The sequence below is a fragment of the Homo sapiens genome, chromosome 7, assembly GCF_000001405.40.
Source record: "Homo sapiens chromosome 7, GRCh38.p14 Primary Assembly".
In the NCBI taxonomy this organism is placed as follows: Eukaryota; Metazoa; Chordata; class Mammalia; order Primates; family Hominidae; genus Homo; species Homo sapiens.
Genome location: NC_000007.14, coordinates 18,975,416 through 18,994,212, shown reverse-complemented (window position 1 = coordinate 18,994,212; position 18,797 = coordinate 18,975,416). Strand labels below are relative to the sequence as shown.

The 18,797-nt window shown below is 39.0% G+C and overlaps 1 protein-coding gene across 5 annotated transcripts in view, besides 1 other annotated feature; it reads right to left on the bottom strand.

The window, feature by feature from the left end:
• HDAC9 (histone deacetylase 9) overlaps positions 1-18,797 on the bottom strand; it is a 915,592-nt gene that overhangs the window by 8,204 nt on the left and 888,591 nt on the right. For all 5 annotated transcript variants that reach the window (NM_001321868.2, NM_178425.4, NM_001321877.2 and 2 more), the window contains one exon: positions 18,260-18,407. In NM_001321868.2, the coding sequence (NP_001308797.1) occupies positions 18,260-18,407 (148 nt within the window). The remainder of the gene's footprint in view (positions 1-18,259; positions 18,408-18,797) is intronic.
• Positions 3,730-4,231: an enhancer, noted in NCBI's record as "H3K4me1 hESC enhancer chr7:19029605-19030106 (GRCh37/hg19 assembly coordinates)". NCBI's record gives its function as "activates a minimal SCP1, AML or CMV promoter by ChIP-STARR-seq in primed H9 embryonic stem cells {active_cell/tissue: H9 hESC(primed)}" and the evidence as "EXISTENCE:reporter gene assay evidence [ECO:0000049][PMID:30033119]".

Sequence of the window (18,797 nt, the reverse complement as noted above, 5' to 3'; positions counted from 1 at the left end):
TTTCCCCCGAATCCAGGATTCAGTGTGGCTGGAATTCCAGAGACAGTCACGTGTGGGAAATGTCTCAGAGGTCACAGATGTAAGGAATCCACATGTCTCTGTGGTGGAGGATCTGTGAATTCTCCACATGTCCAACCTAGGCTTAAAGGATGTGAGTAGGCTGTCTACACTGCAACCCACTCACTGCCAAAAATTAAGCCTCTTTGGTTGAAACAGGGCAACTTGCAGGTACAATAGAAAGCTTTCCATCAGATGCTTCTCTGCCTTTTCCTCTCTTTGAAATCATTTTATATTGACCTCTTTTTTTTGGAATAAACCACTTATAGCTGCCCACCTTCTATTGAACCATCTACACATATGCATAATTAACCAATTCTCTCTCTCGCTCTTTCATTTATTTATGTATTTTTGAGACAGGGTCTCACTCTGTTGCCCAGGCTGGAGTGCAGTGGCATAGTCACAGCTAACTGCAGCCTCAACCTCCCGGGCTCAAGCCATTCTCCTACCTCAGTATCCCGAATAGCTGAGACTACAGGCATGTGCCACCATGCTGGGCTAATTAAAAAAAAAATAATTATAGATGGGGTCTTGCTATGTTGCCCAGGCTGGTTTTGAACTCCTGGGCTCAAGAGATCCTCCTGCTTTAGCCTTCCAAAATGCTGGGACTACAGGGGTACGCCACCATGTCTAGCCTCAATTCTCCCCAGCGTCTTGCAGCATAGAAGTGTTAGTAGCATAGTAAGTTGGAAAATATCCTGGATTTCAAGGTAGATGTTCTGGGTTCAAGTCCCAGCTGTTTTACTTTCGAAAATTTGACTTTGAATCAGTCAGTCAGTGTCTCTAGATTGTCAATTTTATCTTTAAAATAGAAATAATAATCCCTTACTTGCCCTCACGGTTATGAGAATTGAAACGAGTTAATGTAAGAAAACATGATTTATACACTGTGAAGTGTGAAACAATTGTAAAATAACTGGATTATTTATATCTGCCATTGGGACAATTTATAGTATCTCTCTTCTCATAGCCCTAGCTCTCAGTAGAGGTGGCATTATCTTCATATAATCAAAAAATATGTCTACATTTTTAAAAAAGATGATTTCTTTATGGAACATTTAGAAAGATATCTGGTGAGTGATGACCCTTTAATGGCTGTGTTTGGAGGAATGAGAAGCAGTGCTCTGAAAATCTGGGGGCTTCCCACTTCAGCCATCCCTAGATACATGTCTACTTCACCTTGATTAACAAAGACACAAGCTGGGGGAAGGAAAGACATGCAGGGAGCTGAAGACAGTAAGTTCGGAGATAACTATAAAATCAACCCAGCAAAGATAAATTTTAGTATAATGGTTTAACGAATTGAAAGACATAAGCTTCCCTCCAGCAAGTCAATGTCACAGTGAACACTGATAGTTTTCTGTCATTGATAATCAAAGATTTCATATCCTAAAGAAGGATCAATTCACTCCAACAGCCATAAGATAATTTACAAAAGTAAAAAAAAAAGGAAGTAATTTCACTTGAGACAAGATGTAGTATTAAATTAAATTCTTGTATTCTCTCTTAAATCTTATTTCTTGTGGTTTTAAAAATAGCATTTGTTTAATTTATATTAACACTGTTACGTAGTAAAACATTTTCTCATTTTACTGATTTAATTTAATTCTTATTTCTTACTTCTACTCCTCTTCCTCCTGAAAGGCAAGCAATACAATGCCTGTTACATTATTTTGTTTGCAAGTGTTCTTTAAAGCTGTGTATTATTGTTTTGTGGGTATATATTTTTATTTTATGTAAATTTTAACTTTATACACATGTGCATAATTTTCTCACTCAGTACTGTATTTACTAGATCTGTCATGCACTTATATTTATCTAGTTTGAAGCTGGTAACTTCTACGTGGCATCTCCATACAGTGCATCCACCACATTTTAACTATTCATTCTCCCAATAATGGACACTGGGCTTGACTCCAACTCTCTATTCACCATGAATAAAGCTGTAGTGAACTTCCTAGTATACGTACTCTAAAGACTTATGCTGAGAATGTCTTTGGTATACATTCCCAAGAGCAAAATTACCAGGTCATATATTTTGTGTATATAAAATGGTACTAAATTAGTATGCAGCATGGCTGCCATAGTTTATCTTCCCAAAGCAGTGAGGCTCTAAAGCCCCACATCTCCACCCATGCTAGCAATACTTAGTTTACTCATATTTTTCATTGATTCTAGAAAAAGTTGCTGACTGTGTACTGTGTGCCCTGGTTCTGTTCTAGGCACTAGGAACATAGCAATGAACAAAATAGACAAACATCCCTGCTCTCATAGAACTCACATTCTCCATTGACCTTATATTCTAATTGAATGTTTACCATCTAATATATGTAAAACAATACCTTCTTGTTATTCAAATTTGCATTTATTTGATAACTAATCAGTTTGGACAAAGATTTGAATTTTAGTAAGCCACAAAAGCTAAAGTAAAAGACAGAGAATCAAATGACTTTCATAAGTATGTGTCATAAGTAAGTCTGTTTATCTCACTGATGACTTCTTTTTTTTTTTTTTCTTTTGAGACGGAGTCTCTCACTGTCACCCAGGCTGGAGTGCAATGGCACCATCTCCGCTCACTGCAAGCTCCGCCTCCTGAGTTAACACCATTCTCCTGCTTCAGCCTCCTGAGCAGCTGGGACTACAGGTGCCTGCCACCACACCTGGCTAATTTTTTGTATTTTTAGTAGAGACAGGGTTTCACCGTGTTAGCCAGGATGGTCTTGATCTGACCTCGTGATCTGCCCGCCTCGGCCTCCCAAAGCACTGGGATTACAGGCATGAGCCACTGTGCCCAGCCTGATGACTTCTTTATCTTTCCAGTATTCACAAACTGATTTTATATATAACTAATTCATATATTAGTTCGTATTTTGTGAATTTTGTTTTATGTTCTTTCATTTCCTCATTCATTTTTCTTTTTCATCTCCCCCCTCCAATGTTATACCATTTTGTATACATACTAGACATCCCATAAATACTTTTTGAAATGTTTATATACATATGTTGGAATGATTTCAGTGCTCTTTACAAGTATGATAATTTAAATCAAGAACAAAATAAGAATTTGCAACAAAAGAATAAAGATCGAGAGGAGCCAAGATGGCCGAATAGGAACAGCTCCGGTCTACAGCTCCCAGCATGGGCAACGCAGAAGACGGGTGATTTCTGCATTTCCATCTGAGGTACCGGGTTCATCTCACTAGGGAGTGCCAGACAGTGGGCGCAGGTCAGTGGGTGCGCGCTCCATGCGCGAGCCCAAGCAGGGCGAGACATTGCCTCACTTGGGAAGCACAAGGGGCCAGGGAGTTCTCTTTCCTAGTCAAAGGGGTGACAGACGGCACCTGGAAAATCAGGTCACTCCCACCCAAATACTGCGCTTTTCCTACGGGCTTAAAAAACGGCGCACCAGGAGATTATATCCCGCACATGGCTCGGAGGGTCCTACGCCCACAGAATCTCGCTGACTGCTAGCTCAGCAGTCTGAGATCAAACTGCAAGGCGGCAGCCAGGCTGGGGGAGGGGCGCCCGCCATTGCCCAGCCTTGCTTAGGTAAACAAAGCAGCCTGGAAGCTCAAACTGGGTGGAGCCCACCACAGCTCAAGGAGGCCTGCCTGCCTCTATAGGCTCCACCTCTGGGGGCAGGGCACAGACAAACAAAAAGACAGCAGTAACCTCTGCAGACTTAAATGTCCCTGTCTGACAGCATTGAAGAGAGCAGTGGCTCTCCCAGCACGCAGCTGGAGATCTGAAAACGGGCAGACTGCCTCCTCAAGTGGGTCCCTGACCCCTGACCCACGAGCAGCCTAACTGGGAGGCACCCCTCAGCAGGGGCACACTGACACCTCACATGGCCAGGTACTCCAACAGACCTGCAGCTGAGGGTCCTGTCTGTCTGTCCTAACAAACAGAAAGGACATCCACACCAGAAACCCATCTGTACATCACCATCATCAAAGACCAAAAGTAGATAAAACCACAAAGATGGGGAAAAAACAGAGCAGAAAAACTGGAAACTCTAAAACGCAGAGTGCCTCTCCTCCTCCAAAGGAACTCAGTTCCTCACCAGCAATGGAACAAAGCTGGACGGAGAATGACTTTGATGAGCTGAGAGAAGAAGGCTTCAGACGATCAAATTACTCTGAGCTACGGGAGGACATTCAAACGAAAGGCAAAGAAGTTGAAAACTTTGAAAAAAATTTAGAAGAATGTATAACTAGAATAACCAACACAGAGAAGTGCTTAAAGGAGCTGATGGAGCTGAAAACCAAGGCTCAAGAACTACGTGAAGAATGCAGAAGCCTCAGGAGCCGATGCGATCAACTGGAAGAAAGGGTATCAGCAATGGAAGATGAAATCAATGAAATGAAGCGAGAAGGGAAGTTTAGAGAAAAAAGCATAAGAAGAAATGAGCAAAGCCTCCAAGAAATATGGGACTATGTGAAAAGACCAAATCTACGTCTGATTGGTGTACCTGAAAGTGACAGGGAGAATGGAATCAAGTTGGAAAACACTCTGCAGGATATTATCCAGGAGAACTTCCCCAATCTAGCAAGGCAGGCCAACATTCAGATTCAGGAAATACAGAGAACGCCACAAAGATACTCCTCAAGAAGAGCAACTCCAAGACACATAATTGTCAGATTCACCAAAGTTGAAATGAAGGAAAAAATGTTAAGGGCAGCCAGAGAGAAAGGTCGGGTTACCCTCAAAGGGAAGCCCATCAGACTAAGAGCGGATCTCTTGGCAGAAACTCTACAAGCCAGAAGACAGTGGGGGTCAATATTAAAGAAAAGAATTTTCAACCCAGAATTTCATATCCAGCCAAACTAAGCTTCATAAGTGAAGGAGAAATTAAATACTTTACAGACAAGCAAATGCTGAGAGATTTTGTCACCACCAGGCCTGCCCTAAAAGAGCTCCTGAAGGAAGTGCTAAACATGGAAAGGAACAACCGGTACCAGCCACTGCAAAATCATGCCAAAATGTAAAGACCATCGAGACTAGGAAGAAACTGCATCAACGAACGAGCAAAATCACCAGCTAACATCATAATGACAGGATCAAATTCACACATAACAATATTAACTTTAAATGTAAATGGACTAAATGCTCCAATTAAAAGACACAGACTGGCAAATTGGATAGAGAGTCAAGACCCATCAGTGTGCCGTATTCAGGAAACCCATCTCACGTGCAGAGACACACATAGGCTCAAAATAAAAGGATGGAGGAAGATCTACCAAGCAAATGGAAAACAAAAAAAGGCAGGGGTTGCAATCCTAGTCTCTGATAAAAGAGACTTTAAACCAACAAAGATCAAAAGAGACAAAGAAGGCCATTACATAATGGTAAAGGGGTCAATTCAACAAGAAGAGCTAACTATCCTAAATATATATGCACCCAATACAGGGGCACCCAGATTCATAAAGCAAGTCCTGAGTGACCTACAAAGAGACTTAGACTCCCACACATTAATAATGGGAGACTTTAACACCCCACTGTCAACATTAGACAGATCAATGAGACAGAAAGTAAACAAGGATACTCAGGAATTGAACTCAGCTCTGCACCAAGCGGACCTGATAGACATCTACAGAACTCTCCACCCCAAATCAACAGAATATACATTTTTTTCAGCACCACACCACACCTATTCCAAAATTGACCACATACTTGGAAGTAAAGCTCTCCTCAGCAAATGTAAAAGAACAGAAATTATAACAAACTATCTCTCAGACCACAGTGCAATCAAACTAGAACTCAGGATTAAGAAGCTCACTCAAAACCGCTCAACTACATGGAAACTGAACAACCTGCTCCTGAATGACTACTGGGTACATAACGAAATGAAGGCAGAAATAAAGATGTTCTTTGAAACCAACGAGAACAAAGACACAACATACCCGAATCTCTGGGAAGCATTCAAAGCAGTATGTAGAGGAAAATTTACAGCACTAAATGCCCACAAGAGAAAGCAGGAAAGATCCAAAATTGACACCCTAACATCACAATTAAAAGAACTAGAAAAGCAAGAGCAAACACATTCAAAAGCTAGCAGAAGGCAAGAAATAACTAAAATCAGAGCAGAACTGAATAGAGACACAAAAAACCCTTCAAAAAATTAATGAATCCAGGAGCTGGTTTTTTGAAAGGATCAACAAAATTGCTAGACCGCTAGCAAGACTAATAAAGAAGAAAAGGGAGAAGAATCAAATAGATGCGATAAAAAATGATAAAGAGGATATCACCACCGATCCCACAGAAATACAAACTACCATCAGAGAATACTACAAACACCTCTACGCCAATAAACTAGAAAATCTAGAAGAAATGGATAAATTCCTGGACACATACACTCTCCCAAGACTAAACCAGGAAGAAGTTGAATCTCTGAATAGACCAATAACAGGAGCTGAAATTGTGGCAATAATCAATAGCTTACCAACCAAAAAGAGTCCAGGACCAGATGGATTCACAGCCGAATTCTACCAGAGGTACAAGGAGGAACTGGTACCATTCCTTCTGAAACTATGCCAATCAATAGAAAAAGAGGGAATCCTCCCTAACTCATTTTATGAGGCCAGCATCATCCTGATACCAAAGCCTGGCAGAGACACAACCAAAAAAGAGAATTTTAGACCAATAGCCTTGATGAACATTGATGCAAAAATCCTCAATAAAATACTGGCAAACCAAATCCAGCAGCACATCAAAAAGCTTATCCACCATGATCAAGTGGGCTTCATTCCTGGGATGCAAGGCTGGTTCAATATATGCAAATCAATAAATGTAATCCAGCATATAAACAGAACCAAAGACAAAAGCCACATGATAATCTCAATAGATGCAGAAAAGGCCTCTGACAAAATTCAACAACCTTCATGCTAAAAACTCCCAATAAATTAGGTATTGATGGGACGTATTCCAAATTAATAAGAGCTATCTATGACAAACCCACAGCCAATATCATACTGAATGGGCAAAAACTGGAAGCATTCCCTTTGAACACTGGCACAAGCCAGGGATGCCCTCTCTCACCACTCCTCTTCAACATAGTGTTGGAAGTTCTGGCCAGGGCAATTAGGCAGGAGAAGGAAATAAAGGGTATTCAATTAGGAAAAGAGGAAGTCAAATTGTCCCTGTTTGCAGATGACATGATTGTATATCTAGAAAACCCCATTCTCTCAGCCCAAAATCTCCTTAAGCTGATAAGCAACTTCAGCAAAGTCTCAGGATACAAAATCAATGTACAAAAATCACAAGCATTCTTATACACCAACAACAGACAAACAGCCAAATCATGAGTGAACTCCCATTCACAGTTGCTTCAAAGAGAATAAAATACCTAGGAATCCAACTTACAAGGGATGTGAAGGACCTCTTCAAGGAGAACTACAAACCACTGCTCAAGGAAATAAAAGAGGATACAAACAAATGGGAGAATATTCCATGCTCATGGGTAGGAAGAATCAATCTTCTGAAAATGGCCATACTGCCCAAGGTAATTTACAGATTCAATGCCATCCCCATCAAGCTACCAATGACTTTCTTCACAGAATTGGAAAAAAATACTTTAAAGTTCATATGGAACCAAAAAAGAGCCCGCATTGCCAAGTCAATCCTAAGCCAAAAGAACAAAGCTGGAGGCATCACACTACCTGACTTCAAACTATACTACAAGGCTACAGTAACCAAAACAGCATGGTACTGGTACCAAAACAGAGATATAGATCAATGGAACAGAACAGAGCCCTCAGAAATAATGCCACATATCTACAACTATCTGATCTTTGACAAACCTGAGAAAAACAAGCAATGGGGAAAGGATTCCCTATTTAATAAATGGTGCTGGGAAAACTGGCTAGCCATATGTAGAAAGCTGAAACTGGATCCCTTCCTTACACCTTATACAAAAATCAATTCAAGATGGATTAAAGACTTAAACGTTAGACCTAAAACCATAAAAACCCTAGAAGAAAACCTAGGCATTACCATTCAGGACATAGGCATGGGCAAGGACTTCATGTCTAAAACACCAAAAGCAATGGCAACAAAAGCCAAAATTGACAAATGGGATCTAATTAAACTAAAGAGCTTCTGCACAGCAAAAGAAACTACCATCAGAGTGAACAGGCAACCTACAAAATGGGAGAAAATTTTCACAACCTACTCATCTGACAAAGGGCTAATATCCAGAATCTACAATGAACTCAAACAAATTTACAAGAAAAAAACAAACAACCCCATCAAAAAGTGGGCGAAGGACATGAACAGACACTTCTCAAAAGAAGACATTTATGCAGCCAAAAAACACATGAAAAAATGCTCACCATCACTGGCCATCAGAGAAATGCAAATCAAAACCACAATGAGATACCATCTCACACCAGTTAGAATGGTGATCACTAAAAAGTCAGGAAACAACAGGTGCTGGAGAGGATGTGGAGAAATAGGAACACTTTTACACTGTTGGTGGGACTGTAAACTAGTTCAACCATTGTGGAAGTCAGTGTGGCGATTCCTCAGGGATCTAGAACTAGAAATACCATTTGACCCAGCCATCCCATTACTGGGTATATACCCAAAGGACTATAAATCATGCTGCTCTAAAGACACACGCACACGTACGTTTATTGCGGCACTATTCACAATAGGAAAGACTTGGAACCAACCCAAATGTCCAACAATGATAGACTGGATTAAGAAAATGTGGCACATATGCACCATGGAATACCATGCAGCCATAAAAAATGATGAGTTCATGTCCTTTGTATGGACATGGATGAAATTGGAAAACATCATTCTCAGTAAACTATCGCAAGAACAAAAAACCAAACACCGCATATTCTCACTCATAGGTGGGAATTGAACAATGAGAACACATGGACACAGGAAGGGGAACATCGCACTCTGGGGTCTGTTGTGGGGTTGGGGGGGTAGGGATAGCATTGGGAGATATACCTAATGCTAGATGACGAATTAGTGGGTGCAGCGCACCAGCATGGCACATGTATACATATGTAACTAACCTGCACATTGTGCACATGTACCCTAAAACTTAAAGTATAATAATAATAAATAAATAGAAAAAGAATTAAAAAAAAATAAAGATCCAGAAATATTCTCAGTACAGACTTCCTGTGTAACAATTCTACACCTAAATGTGTGATTGGGAATATATTCCCTCATATCACAAGGCTGTGCAGAAATAAAAGCCCAACAAAAGCAAACATATGTATACACACACACACAAACTCACACCTACCATAACAATACAACTGGCAGCAAGTTTTTGTGGGGAATTGACATAGATTTTCTAACAGTACCATTACTCAACCCTAGTTTGCCTTATTGCTTCCTTTTGTCCATGTTCGCCTCTTAATTCTACAATACATAGTCACCTTCAACCAACGTCTTCCTTTTTTCTCTCTCAGCTAATGGCATTATCATCCAGACTATTAATTTGGACTTCTTTCTCTCCCATTTCATTGATATTTCATGAATTGCCAACTACTCACTATTTCTCAACAATTTATCTACACTAGGTTTTCTTCCTCTCCATTTCCTCTACCATGATTAATTGGCTTCTTTACCACAATTACCATAAGGGTTTCTTGGCTGTCCCTTTAGTAGTATGCTGGCCCCTCCTCCATGACACTCTCTGTTCAATGTATAGACCTAAGTTATCTCTCTCTCTCTCTGTGAAAGCTTAATACTGAAAACAGGATTAACTCAAATTCGAATGGTAATAAATATTTTAATTCCCTTCCATTAAATTTTGTGCCATGATCCCTTTCTACCCAGCCAGCTTACTCAACTCTGTGGCACCCCCAACTGCCCCGAGAGTCCTTTCCTTTCCCAAAGTTTGCACTCATATACTCTCTGAACTTTTGCTCGTCTTTTACTACCAAAATGGATCTTGAGTACCTAATTTGTGTCAGGTAATATACTGCTATTAAAAAAATAATGCTAAGCCAAAGGGATGCAGATTCTATTCATAAGGAGCTTACAGGAGAAAACATAAAGGAATCAAATAAGCACACAAATGTATCTAATTTTCACTTATGTCCTGTGGAGTAATGCAGAAGTGTAAGGGAGACATGAGAAAGCATGGAGGACCTGATCTAATTTGGGGGTTAGTGGTCGGTGAATATTTTTCAAGAAGAAGAAGTGATATTTGATCTGAAATCTACAGGATATGATGAAAAGAATGGGAAGGCCAATAAAGGGTTGGTGGAAGAAGGTAGAGGACAGGATAAACATTCCAAACAGAAGAGAAGGCATGTGCCAAGGAAGCCCTGATGTGGACATGAGTATGGCTTTTTGGAGGAAAACTGAATCCACAATGAAATATCACTCCACACCCACAATAAAAGGCTAAAATTATAAAGACTGATTTTACCAAGTGTAGGTGAGGCTATGATGCAATTGGAACTGTCATTCATTGCTAGTGGGAATGAAAAATGGTACAGCCACTTTGGAAAACAGTTTGGAAGATTTTTATGAAGTAAAACATATGACTTCCCTACAACCCAGCAATTCTAATTTTAGCTATCTTAGCTATCTATCCAAAAAAACTGAGTGCTGTGACCACAAAAAGAAAACTTGTATGAAAATTTCATAGAGATTTAGATTCCTCAAGAAATTAAAAATAAAATTTCCATATGATCCAGAAATATCACTTCTGGGTATATATCATCCAAAAAAACTGAAAATAGGAACTTAAAGAGTTATTTGCACATCCATGTTCACAGCAGCATTCATTCACAATAGTCAAGAGGTGGAAGCAATCCAAGAATCTATCAGTGGGTGAGTGGATAAAGAAAATGTGGCATATACATGCAATGGAATATTATTCAGCCTTAAAAAAGAAGGAAATGTTTTCATATGTTACCACATGGAGAAACCTTAAGGACATTACACTAAGTGAAGTAAGCCAGTAGAAAAAGACAAAAGTTGCATGGTTCCAATTATATGAAGTATCTAAAGTAGTCAAACTCTGAAACAGAAAGCAGAATGATGGTTGATAGGGGCTGGAAGGATGAGGCGGGAAGATGAAGGAGCTGGTCAATGGCTACAAGGTTTCCATTTTGCAAGATCAAGTTCCAGAAACCTGTTGCACAACAATACACATATAAACACTGCTGTACTGAACACTTAACATGGTTAAGACGGTAAGTTTTACATGTGTTTTTAAACCACAATAATAATTAATTGATCAGCTTTATTCATAATAGCCCTCAAAGTGTAAGCAAGCCAAACATCCATCCGTAGGTATACGGATAAACAAATTAGGGTGTATTAATACACTGGAGTAATGTACAATAATAAAAATGAAGAAACTCCGGATTGTCAATGGCATAAATAGATCTCAAAAACATGCTTAATGAGGTGAAATAAGTCAGATTAAGAAATACAGTACACACGCATGATTCCATTTAAATGAAATTCAAGAGCAGGCAAACATAATTGACGGTGTTAAAAGTAAAACGGTAGTTACCTCTGGAGGGAGTGGCACCGACTGGGAAGTGGCAGAAGCAAACTTTTTGGAGGTAATAAAAATGTTCTTGAACTTGTTCTGGGTGGTGTTTATATGAGGGTGGCATTGGTAAAAATCTTAGAACGTGTGCATGTTATTATATGTAAGATATACCTCCATTAAAAATTAATTAAGGTCATTGTTGGAAACCACATCAGAAAAGAAAGAGGAAGAATGTTAGAAGTAAGGCAGGAATTATAGGTATGAGTCTACTAATACAGACCTTATGGAGCCTATTGAAGATGATGATCTTTATGTTAATGGAAATGGAAAAGTATTGAAGGGTTTCAAGCAGAGGCATGACCAGATATGCTTTCCAGTTGTTTTGTTTTGTTTTTGATTGAGGTGTATAAAATGGATTAGAAAGAAGGTAAAACTGGATATGAAAACCAGTAAGGAAACTACTGTAAAAGTTTGGATGAGAGATGATGATACTTTGGACTGAGTGTCAGCAGTAGAAGTTAAAAATATATATATTGTCTCAAGTTATTGTCTTGTAAAGTAAGGGCTTCTTAAATTGTCTTGTCAAAGTAAAGACATCTTGAATGCCTTTTGTCCTATTTACTGTGTGAAATCTACACATTCTTCCACCCTGATTCTCTTCTCCCTGGTTCTGTGATTTGCTCCCCAGTCCTTGGCCTATAAGGCGTTTTGTTTTGCTTTTTTTTTCATTTTGCAGGACCCTATTTCAATCTTATCAAAGACTTGTCATTTATTATAGTTGATTGTTCATGTTTGTTTCTGTGGTAGGAAGAATAATAGTCCCCAAAGCTATCCACTTCCTAATCCTTGGAACGTGTGAATATGTTACCTTACATGGCAAAAGTGATTTTGTAGTTGTGATTAAAGTTAGGGGTGATAAGGTGGAGAAATTAATCCTAAATTATCCTGGTGAGTCTAATCTAATTATATGAGCCCTTAATAGCAGAAACCCTTTCTCAGCTGAAGGCAGAGAGAGATATGATGACTGAAGAAAGGTCAGATAGATGTGAAGTTGCTGGCTTTAAAGATGGAAGAAGGGGTCATGAGCCAAGGAATGCAGGCAACCTCCAGAAGATGGAAAAGGCAAGGAAACCAATTTTTCCCCAGAGCCTCCACAAATGAAGGCAGCCTTGCCAATACATTGCTTTTAGCTCAGTGAGACCTGGGTTAGTTAGATTTCTGACTGACAAACTTTGTGTGTTTTAAGCCATTAAATTTGCAGTATTCTACTGCTGCTGTAAAAAGGTATGTGAACGTTTTGAGGAGTACAAGGCAGCTTTGTGATCCTGGCCCCTAACACTTTATCTGGCTCCTAGAAATAATCAGAAAGTGTTGAAAGAGTGAATGAACTTGATATTTTCACATGTTCTTCTTCCTCATTCTGCTGGTTGGAGGATAGTCCTGATTGATTTAACCTATGAACAGCTAAAGGTATAGATGCCCAAGTATAGGCTCTATATTCTTATATTATAGATTACTGAATGATGGCCAATATATTAAAAGAAGAAACAGGCCGGGCACGGTGGCTCACACCTGTAATTCCAGCACTTTGGGAGGCAGAAGTGGGCTGATCATGAGGTCAGGAGATTGAGACCATCTGACTAACACGGTAAAACCCCATCTCTACTAAAAATACAAAAAAAATTAGCTGGCCATGGTGGCACGTGCCTGTAGTCCCAGATACTCGAGAGGCTGAGGCAAGAGAATTGCTTGAACCCGGGAGGTGGAGGTTGCAGTGAGCTGAGATCACACCACTGCATTCTAGCCTGGGTGACAGAGTGAGACTCCATCTCAAAAAAAAAAGAAGAAGAAGGAGACGGAGGAGAAGGAAGAAGGAAGAAGGAAGAAGAAGAAGAGGAAGAAGAAGAAGAAGAAGGAAGAAGAAGAAGGAAGAAGAAGAAGAAGAAGGAAGAAGAAGAGGAAGAAGGAAGAAGAAGGAAGAAGAACAAGAAGAACAAGAACAAGAAGAACAAGAAAAAGTGTAACAAATCGAGGAAGAAGAAAAGTGATAGAAAAATAATAAAAATAATAAACCTTTATCAAGTTTTATCAAGTATTTACTACATGCCAGGTATTGTTTTAAGTTCTTGTGATGTGTTGTTTCATTTGATTCTCACAACTCTATGAAATTTTTCTCTCATTTTAAAGATGAGGAAAATTAAACTCAGAGAGATTAAGTAACTTGCCCTTGAGCAAACAACTGTGAAGTGTGGAGACTCTAGAGGCAAGCTCTACTCTTCCTCTGTAGTGGTAAGAGGATAGGATTGAAGGAGTGAAGAAAAAGATGAGATGGGAAGCTAAATTATGCATCTTATTTTATATACGTTTCTATTCAATTTTGTTTCTTTTTTCAAAGTAAACACTGTTTTGTAAATAATACAGAACTGAACCCCAAAATACATAACTGGGCATTGGAGGATTAGAACATCCCTAATGTTCTAAGTCAGACTTCACATGCACCTCAAGACCACATGTTAGACACGTTGGGAAAATAGAGATAAAATGATGGCCCTGGGAAGAGGAGGAAAGATAAATGAAGAGGGGGCAGATTTTTCTTTTTACCAGGAGCTTCCAAATCTCACCTCAATTTTCAGCTAAGGCTTTGTTGACACTGGATGAAAATTAAAAACAAAATTTATATTGAAAAATTTGCCTGCTAATATAGTTTGGATAAATGTTCCTGCCCAAATCTCATTTTGAAATATAATCCCCAGTGTGGGAGGTGGGGCCTCATGAGAGGTGTTTGGATCATGGAGGCAGATCCCTCATGAATGGCTTGCACCATCTCCATGGTGATAAGTAAGCTCTTGCTCTGAGCTCACATGGGATCTGGCTGTTTAAAAGTGTGTGGCACCTTCCCCTCCACTCTCTCTCTTGTTTGCTTCTGCTTTTGCCATGTGATGTACCCGCTCCCCAATCACCTTCCTCCATGATTTTAAGCTTCCTGAGGCCTCTGGAGAAGCCAAGCAGATGCCAGGAACTTGCTTCCTGAAAGTCCTGTGGAACTGTGAGCTAATTAAATCTCTTTTCTTTATAAATTACCCATTCGCAGCTATTTATATAATAGCAATGCAAGAACAGCCTAACGCACATACTTAGTTATCTAAGTTGTCTAAATAAGTTCTTAGTTACCTAAACAAGTACTTAACATAATGGTATCATAGAATAAAATAAGAGGGGTGAATAATTTGTGCAACATTTAGCTTCTAGAAGCCTTTGGAGACACAATCCCATTGGGATGGGCTATTTGAGGAAAATCATGTTTCTAAGTACATTAGATATGAATGTATATTTAATAATGGTCTATATTTCTATATAAATCTTAAGATTCAGGAAAATGGGGTTTTTGATGTCATTGGAACTATTGATAAGCCATTCAAAGCTCAGGTAGATGATACTTGGATTTAGCTGATTATTACACTGTTATATTCACAAACTAGATAGTTACCCAAAAAACAAAGTGGTCAGACTTTGAATAATATGTTTTCTCATGTTTCTGTATTATCTAATGACATGAAACCATCACGTTCATGAGAAAGGTTGCCAAAAGTTGAAAGTTAAATGATTAAAGAGACAACTATTCTGGATTTTGTTAAAAAAAAATGTAACACGATTTACAGGTCAAAATGACAACTGCAAATCTAACTTTCAAGTTTGTTTGGTTTTTGTGTTAGTTAAAAAAAAAACACACACACACAAAGTCACCAAGTTAGGCATTCTAGAGTGCAAATGTGCTCCTAAAAACCTAACAGTTGATCATCTTGAAGTCTTGATTGCCTTTCCAAATCTTTTCTTGATCTTCAGCAGAGCCTGAACTGATATCCAAGAGTAAACCTGAGTACTGTACTGACCTTTCCAAAGTAGAAGCATTTTGAAACAGATAGTCAACAAATGCAAACTACAATTGTTTAAAGGTACACATTCCTAGCAAACAATAAGAAAACTTCTTGCTTCTAAGTAGTATGCTATATGTGACCAGACGTATATATTTAATTTTCTTTGACTATATAACTTGGATCCCTTCAAGATTTTTTGTGTTGTTTTGTTTTGTTGACCCATCAATCATTTTTTTGATCAAGTCTTTTGCCCCCAGAAAAGTATGTGTTATGTTTGAAAATTAACTATCCCCAAAAGGAATTCCCACATATCAGCCTTTTCCTAGTAATTTATTCTTCAAGGCCCATCAATGTAGTTATAAAAACGAAATGACTATCTGCACTGTGTTGTCATCCCCTCCCCCATCCAAGAAAAACGAACAAAAAATACTTACAATGGTTCTTAGCCAGGAGCATTTTATCCCTTATTCACTAGTGGTAAATGAGTCAGATATGAGTTGGCCAGGAAAAGAGCTGCTTTACCCAAAATCTTAGTATGAAATGAGTCATCTCACTCCAAACACCAATATGTTCTCCAAAATAACTGGCAAGAATTTCCTATAAAAGGAATCTTGCCTTCACTCTTTTCCATCCATTTAGCTCTCTGATTTTTCTAATTTTTCAATTTCCTGTGTGCTTATAATATTGCATTCATAAGAAAAGCCCAGAAACGTTTCCGCCACTTTATCTCATTTTGAAAGCCATCTTTCCTGTTTGAGTAGGGGGACAATACTGATAGTATTCCCCTGAAAAGAGTAAATGCTCTGTGGCTTTTCAGAGCATTCTCTCTCTCTCTTTCTGTGTGTGTGTGTGTGTGTGTGTGTGTGTGTGTGTGTGTGTCTGTCTGTCTGTCTCTGAGGAAATTCATGCATGGTTCAATTGAAATGCAAGAGCCAGTTCTAGAAGAATTCTTCTTTTCCTCTGCTGAAAAAGGGAGTTCAGTTCAAAGCCATCAGAAATATTTCAAGCAAAACTATTTTTCTTCCCACAAGAAAAATCAATCACAATAGATATAATCTGTCTAAAAGTGATAAATGAACATGAAACCAGGCTACACTCTTTGACTCTGCTTTCCTGCACATCAGAACATTCACATTCTCTCTCTGCCATCAGATGAAGCTTAAAATAAAAATCACTGTGGACTGAAGCCAAGGTTAAATCTCTATAGACTACCATGAGTCAAGCACACTATTTACCTGAGGATAAACAACTTTGCCTACAGGGCCAATTCCTGCCAAACTGCTGAGATTTTTATATTACTTGAGGCTCATAACATCACTTATTATTGTTAATTATTCTAAGCTCTGCAATTTAACAGGCAAAAATATTTACAATTCATTTCACTCAGGTTGGAATTTAGCTTCGTTTTTCTATATTAAATTCTAAAGAATAGCTATGCTCCTTTTATATCCAACACTAACAGATGTTAGTTTCCTCAGTTTTATGGCTCTCAGATGACAGACAACTAACTGTTTTTGGCCTTCGGAATAATTGCAACACCTTTGGATTATGAACTTGGTTCAGTTCTTAGCTGGGAACGGCAGGGGGTTAGTTCTTATTATCAAAGATGTAAAGTAAGTTTTCCCTTATGCTCTAGATATTCATATAAAGTTATCTTTCAATAGAGTAATATACAACTTTTCCCCCTTATTGCTAATCTGCTGTTTAAGTGGTTATGGTAAGAGAAAATAATTGCATAAAAATAAAATCTCTTATTCATTTTATCTCCTGTTCTTGGCCAAAACAAGATGTTAAATCCATTAAACTCTGAGTATCCAGTAAAAGCAAGAAAGTAGAACTGTTCGTATTTGTGCATTCTTGGGAAAATTGCCAACCTGTGCACTAGTAGCAGGATCTGCGTAATTAATGGTGATGTTATTGACGGAGGGAGTCTGATTTCCTTCTCAGGAGCAATTTAAGAGTGCAAGCTGGCAGAGCTTTAGTAAAGCCTCACCTGATTTATTTTTAAATTGAGGAAATGTGACCTTGAAGTCAGCCATAGAAATCACCAATATTTATGTACATTTATGGTGGCTTTGGTAGACTTCAAAGAAATTCTGAATGTACCATTTTCTGTAGAACTGAATGATGAACACCAAATGCACAAACTGACAAACATTCCTTAAAAAGAGAACAAGTGAATCAAATCTTAGTTTCACTGTATTTTTTCTCCAGAAATCTATATTCATAAGAAGATACATTAAAACCAATTCTGTCCTATCCCAAAATGAAATAAAATCAGCCCCAAGTTCACACAGTCCTTTACACACAGTCTCTTGTCTCCTTTGCAGGCAACTTCCCCCTTTATCCAGTTGTTGGACCTCAAGGACAGCCACGTAAGGAGTGTGTATGTATTTTGGCTATCCAACGGTCTAGCATTATTTCCATCTTCTACTCTCCTCTTTCTCTTTGTTATATCAGCAATTTCAAAATGATTAGAGAAAGAAAAAGAACATCTGGAAAAACAGAGATAACTAGGAAAAGGAGTTAAGCCCACAAGCAGCTCTTTCCATAACGATCTGCACTCAATTATCTGATAAGGCGTGATTTTTCTCACCATTTATCTCATCCCCTCTATTTCTCTGTGAACTGCAACCACATGCTCCAGCTCTGCATTTCACATGAAGAATGAAGCAATGAATTCTCGATAGCCTAAAGCATGTGCTGTGGCATCTGTGGCTTTGGAGAGGACAGGTGGTGGAAGTGGAGGAGACAGGTGAAGGAAAGCCAGGAGGAAGATTCACAAATATCAACGATGAGCCTGGATATGACTGACCCGGATTATTCCCGCACGTTGGATTCATACCTGCTGTCTTCCTGAGCAAAGGGCTGTTCCACATCCACTGTTAGGGAGGCCAGGGCAGAAACGGTCTCTGTCTCCTCTTGCAACTGAGCACCAGCCAGAGCACAGCCCCTTGGCACAGCCACCATCCTTACTGACTTCCAATACTTGCCTAGGAAAAACATCCATCATACTTCATAAGAATTGTAATTACAGCAGTAATAATCAGAATACTCACATACGTCCAACTCAGAGCAGTTGTTAAGTTAAAATTCCCCATGTTATACACAGTTGTAATTTGGTTTCTTAACTGTTATGATTGGGTCTTTTTCTCAATATAAGAATGCCAAGTTGTGAAGTGCCCATATTCCCAAGCTGAGTCTCCCTCTTGCTTACACAGCAATAAAGTGAGGAATAATCCATGGCCTACTGAACTCACCCTCAGACTGACAGCTGTCTCTGCAACTAAGTAAGCAAACTCCGGGCTTCACGCTCCCTGGGAAACCCACAAGAGACCAGGAGGCAGCACTCTTACAGAGAACATGAATGGAATCGTACTGTT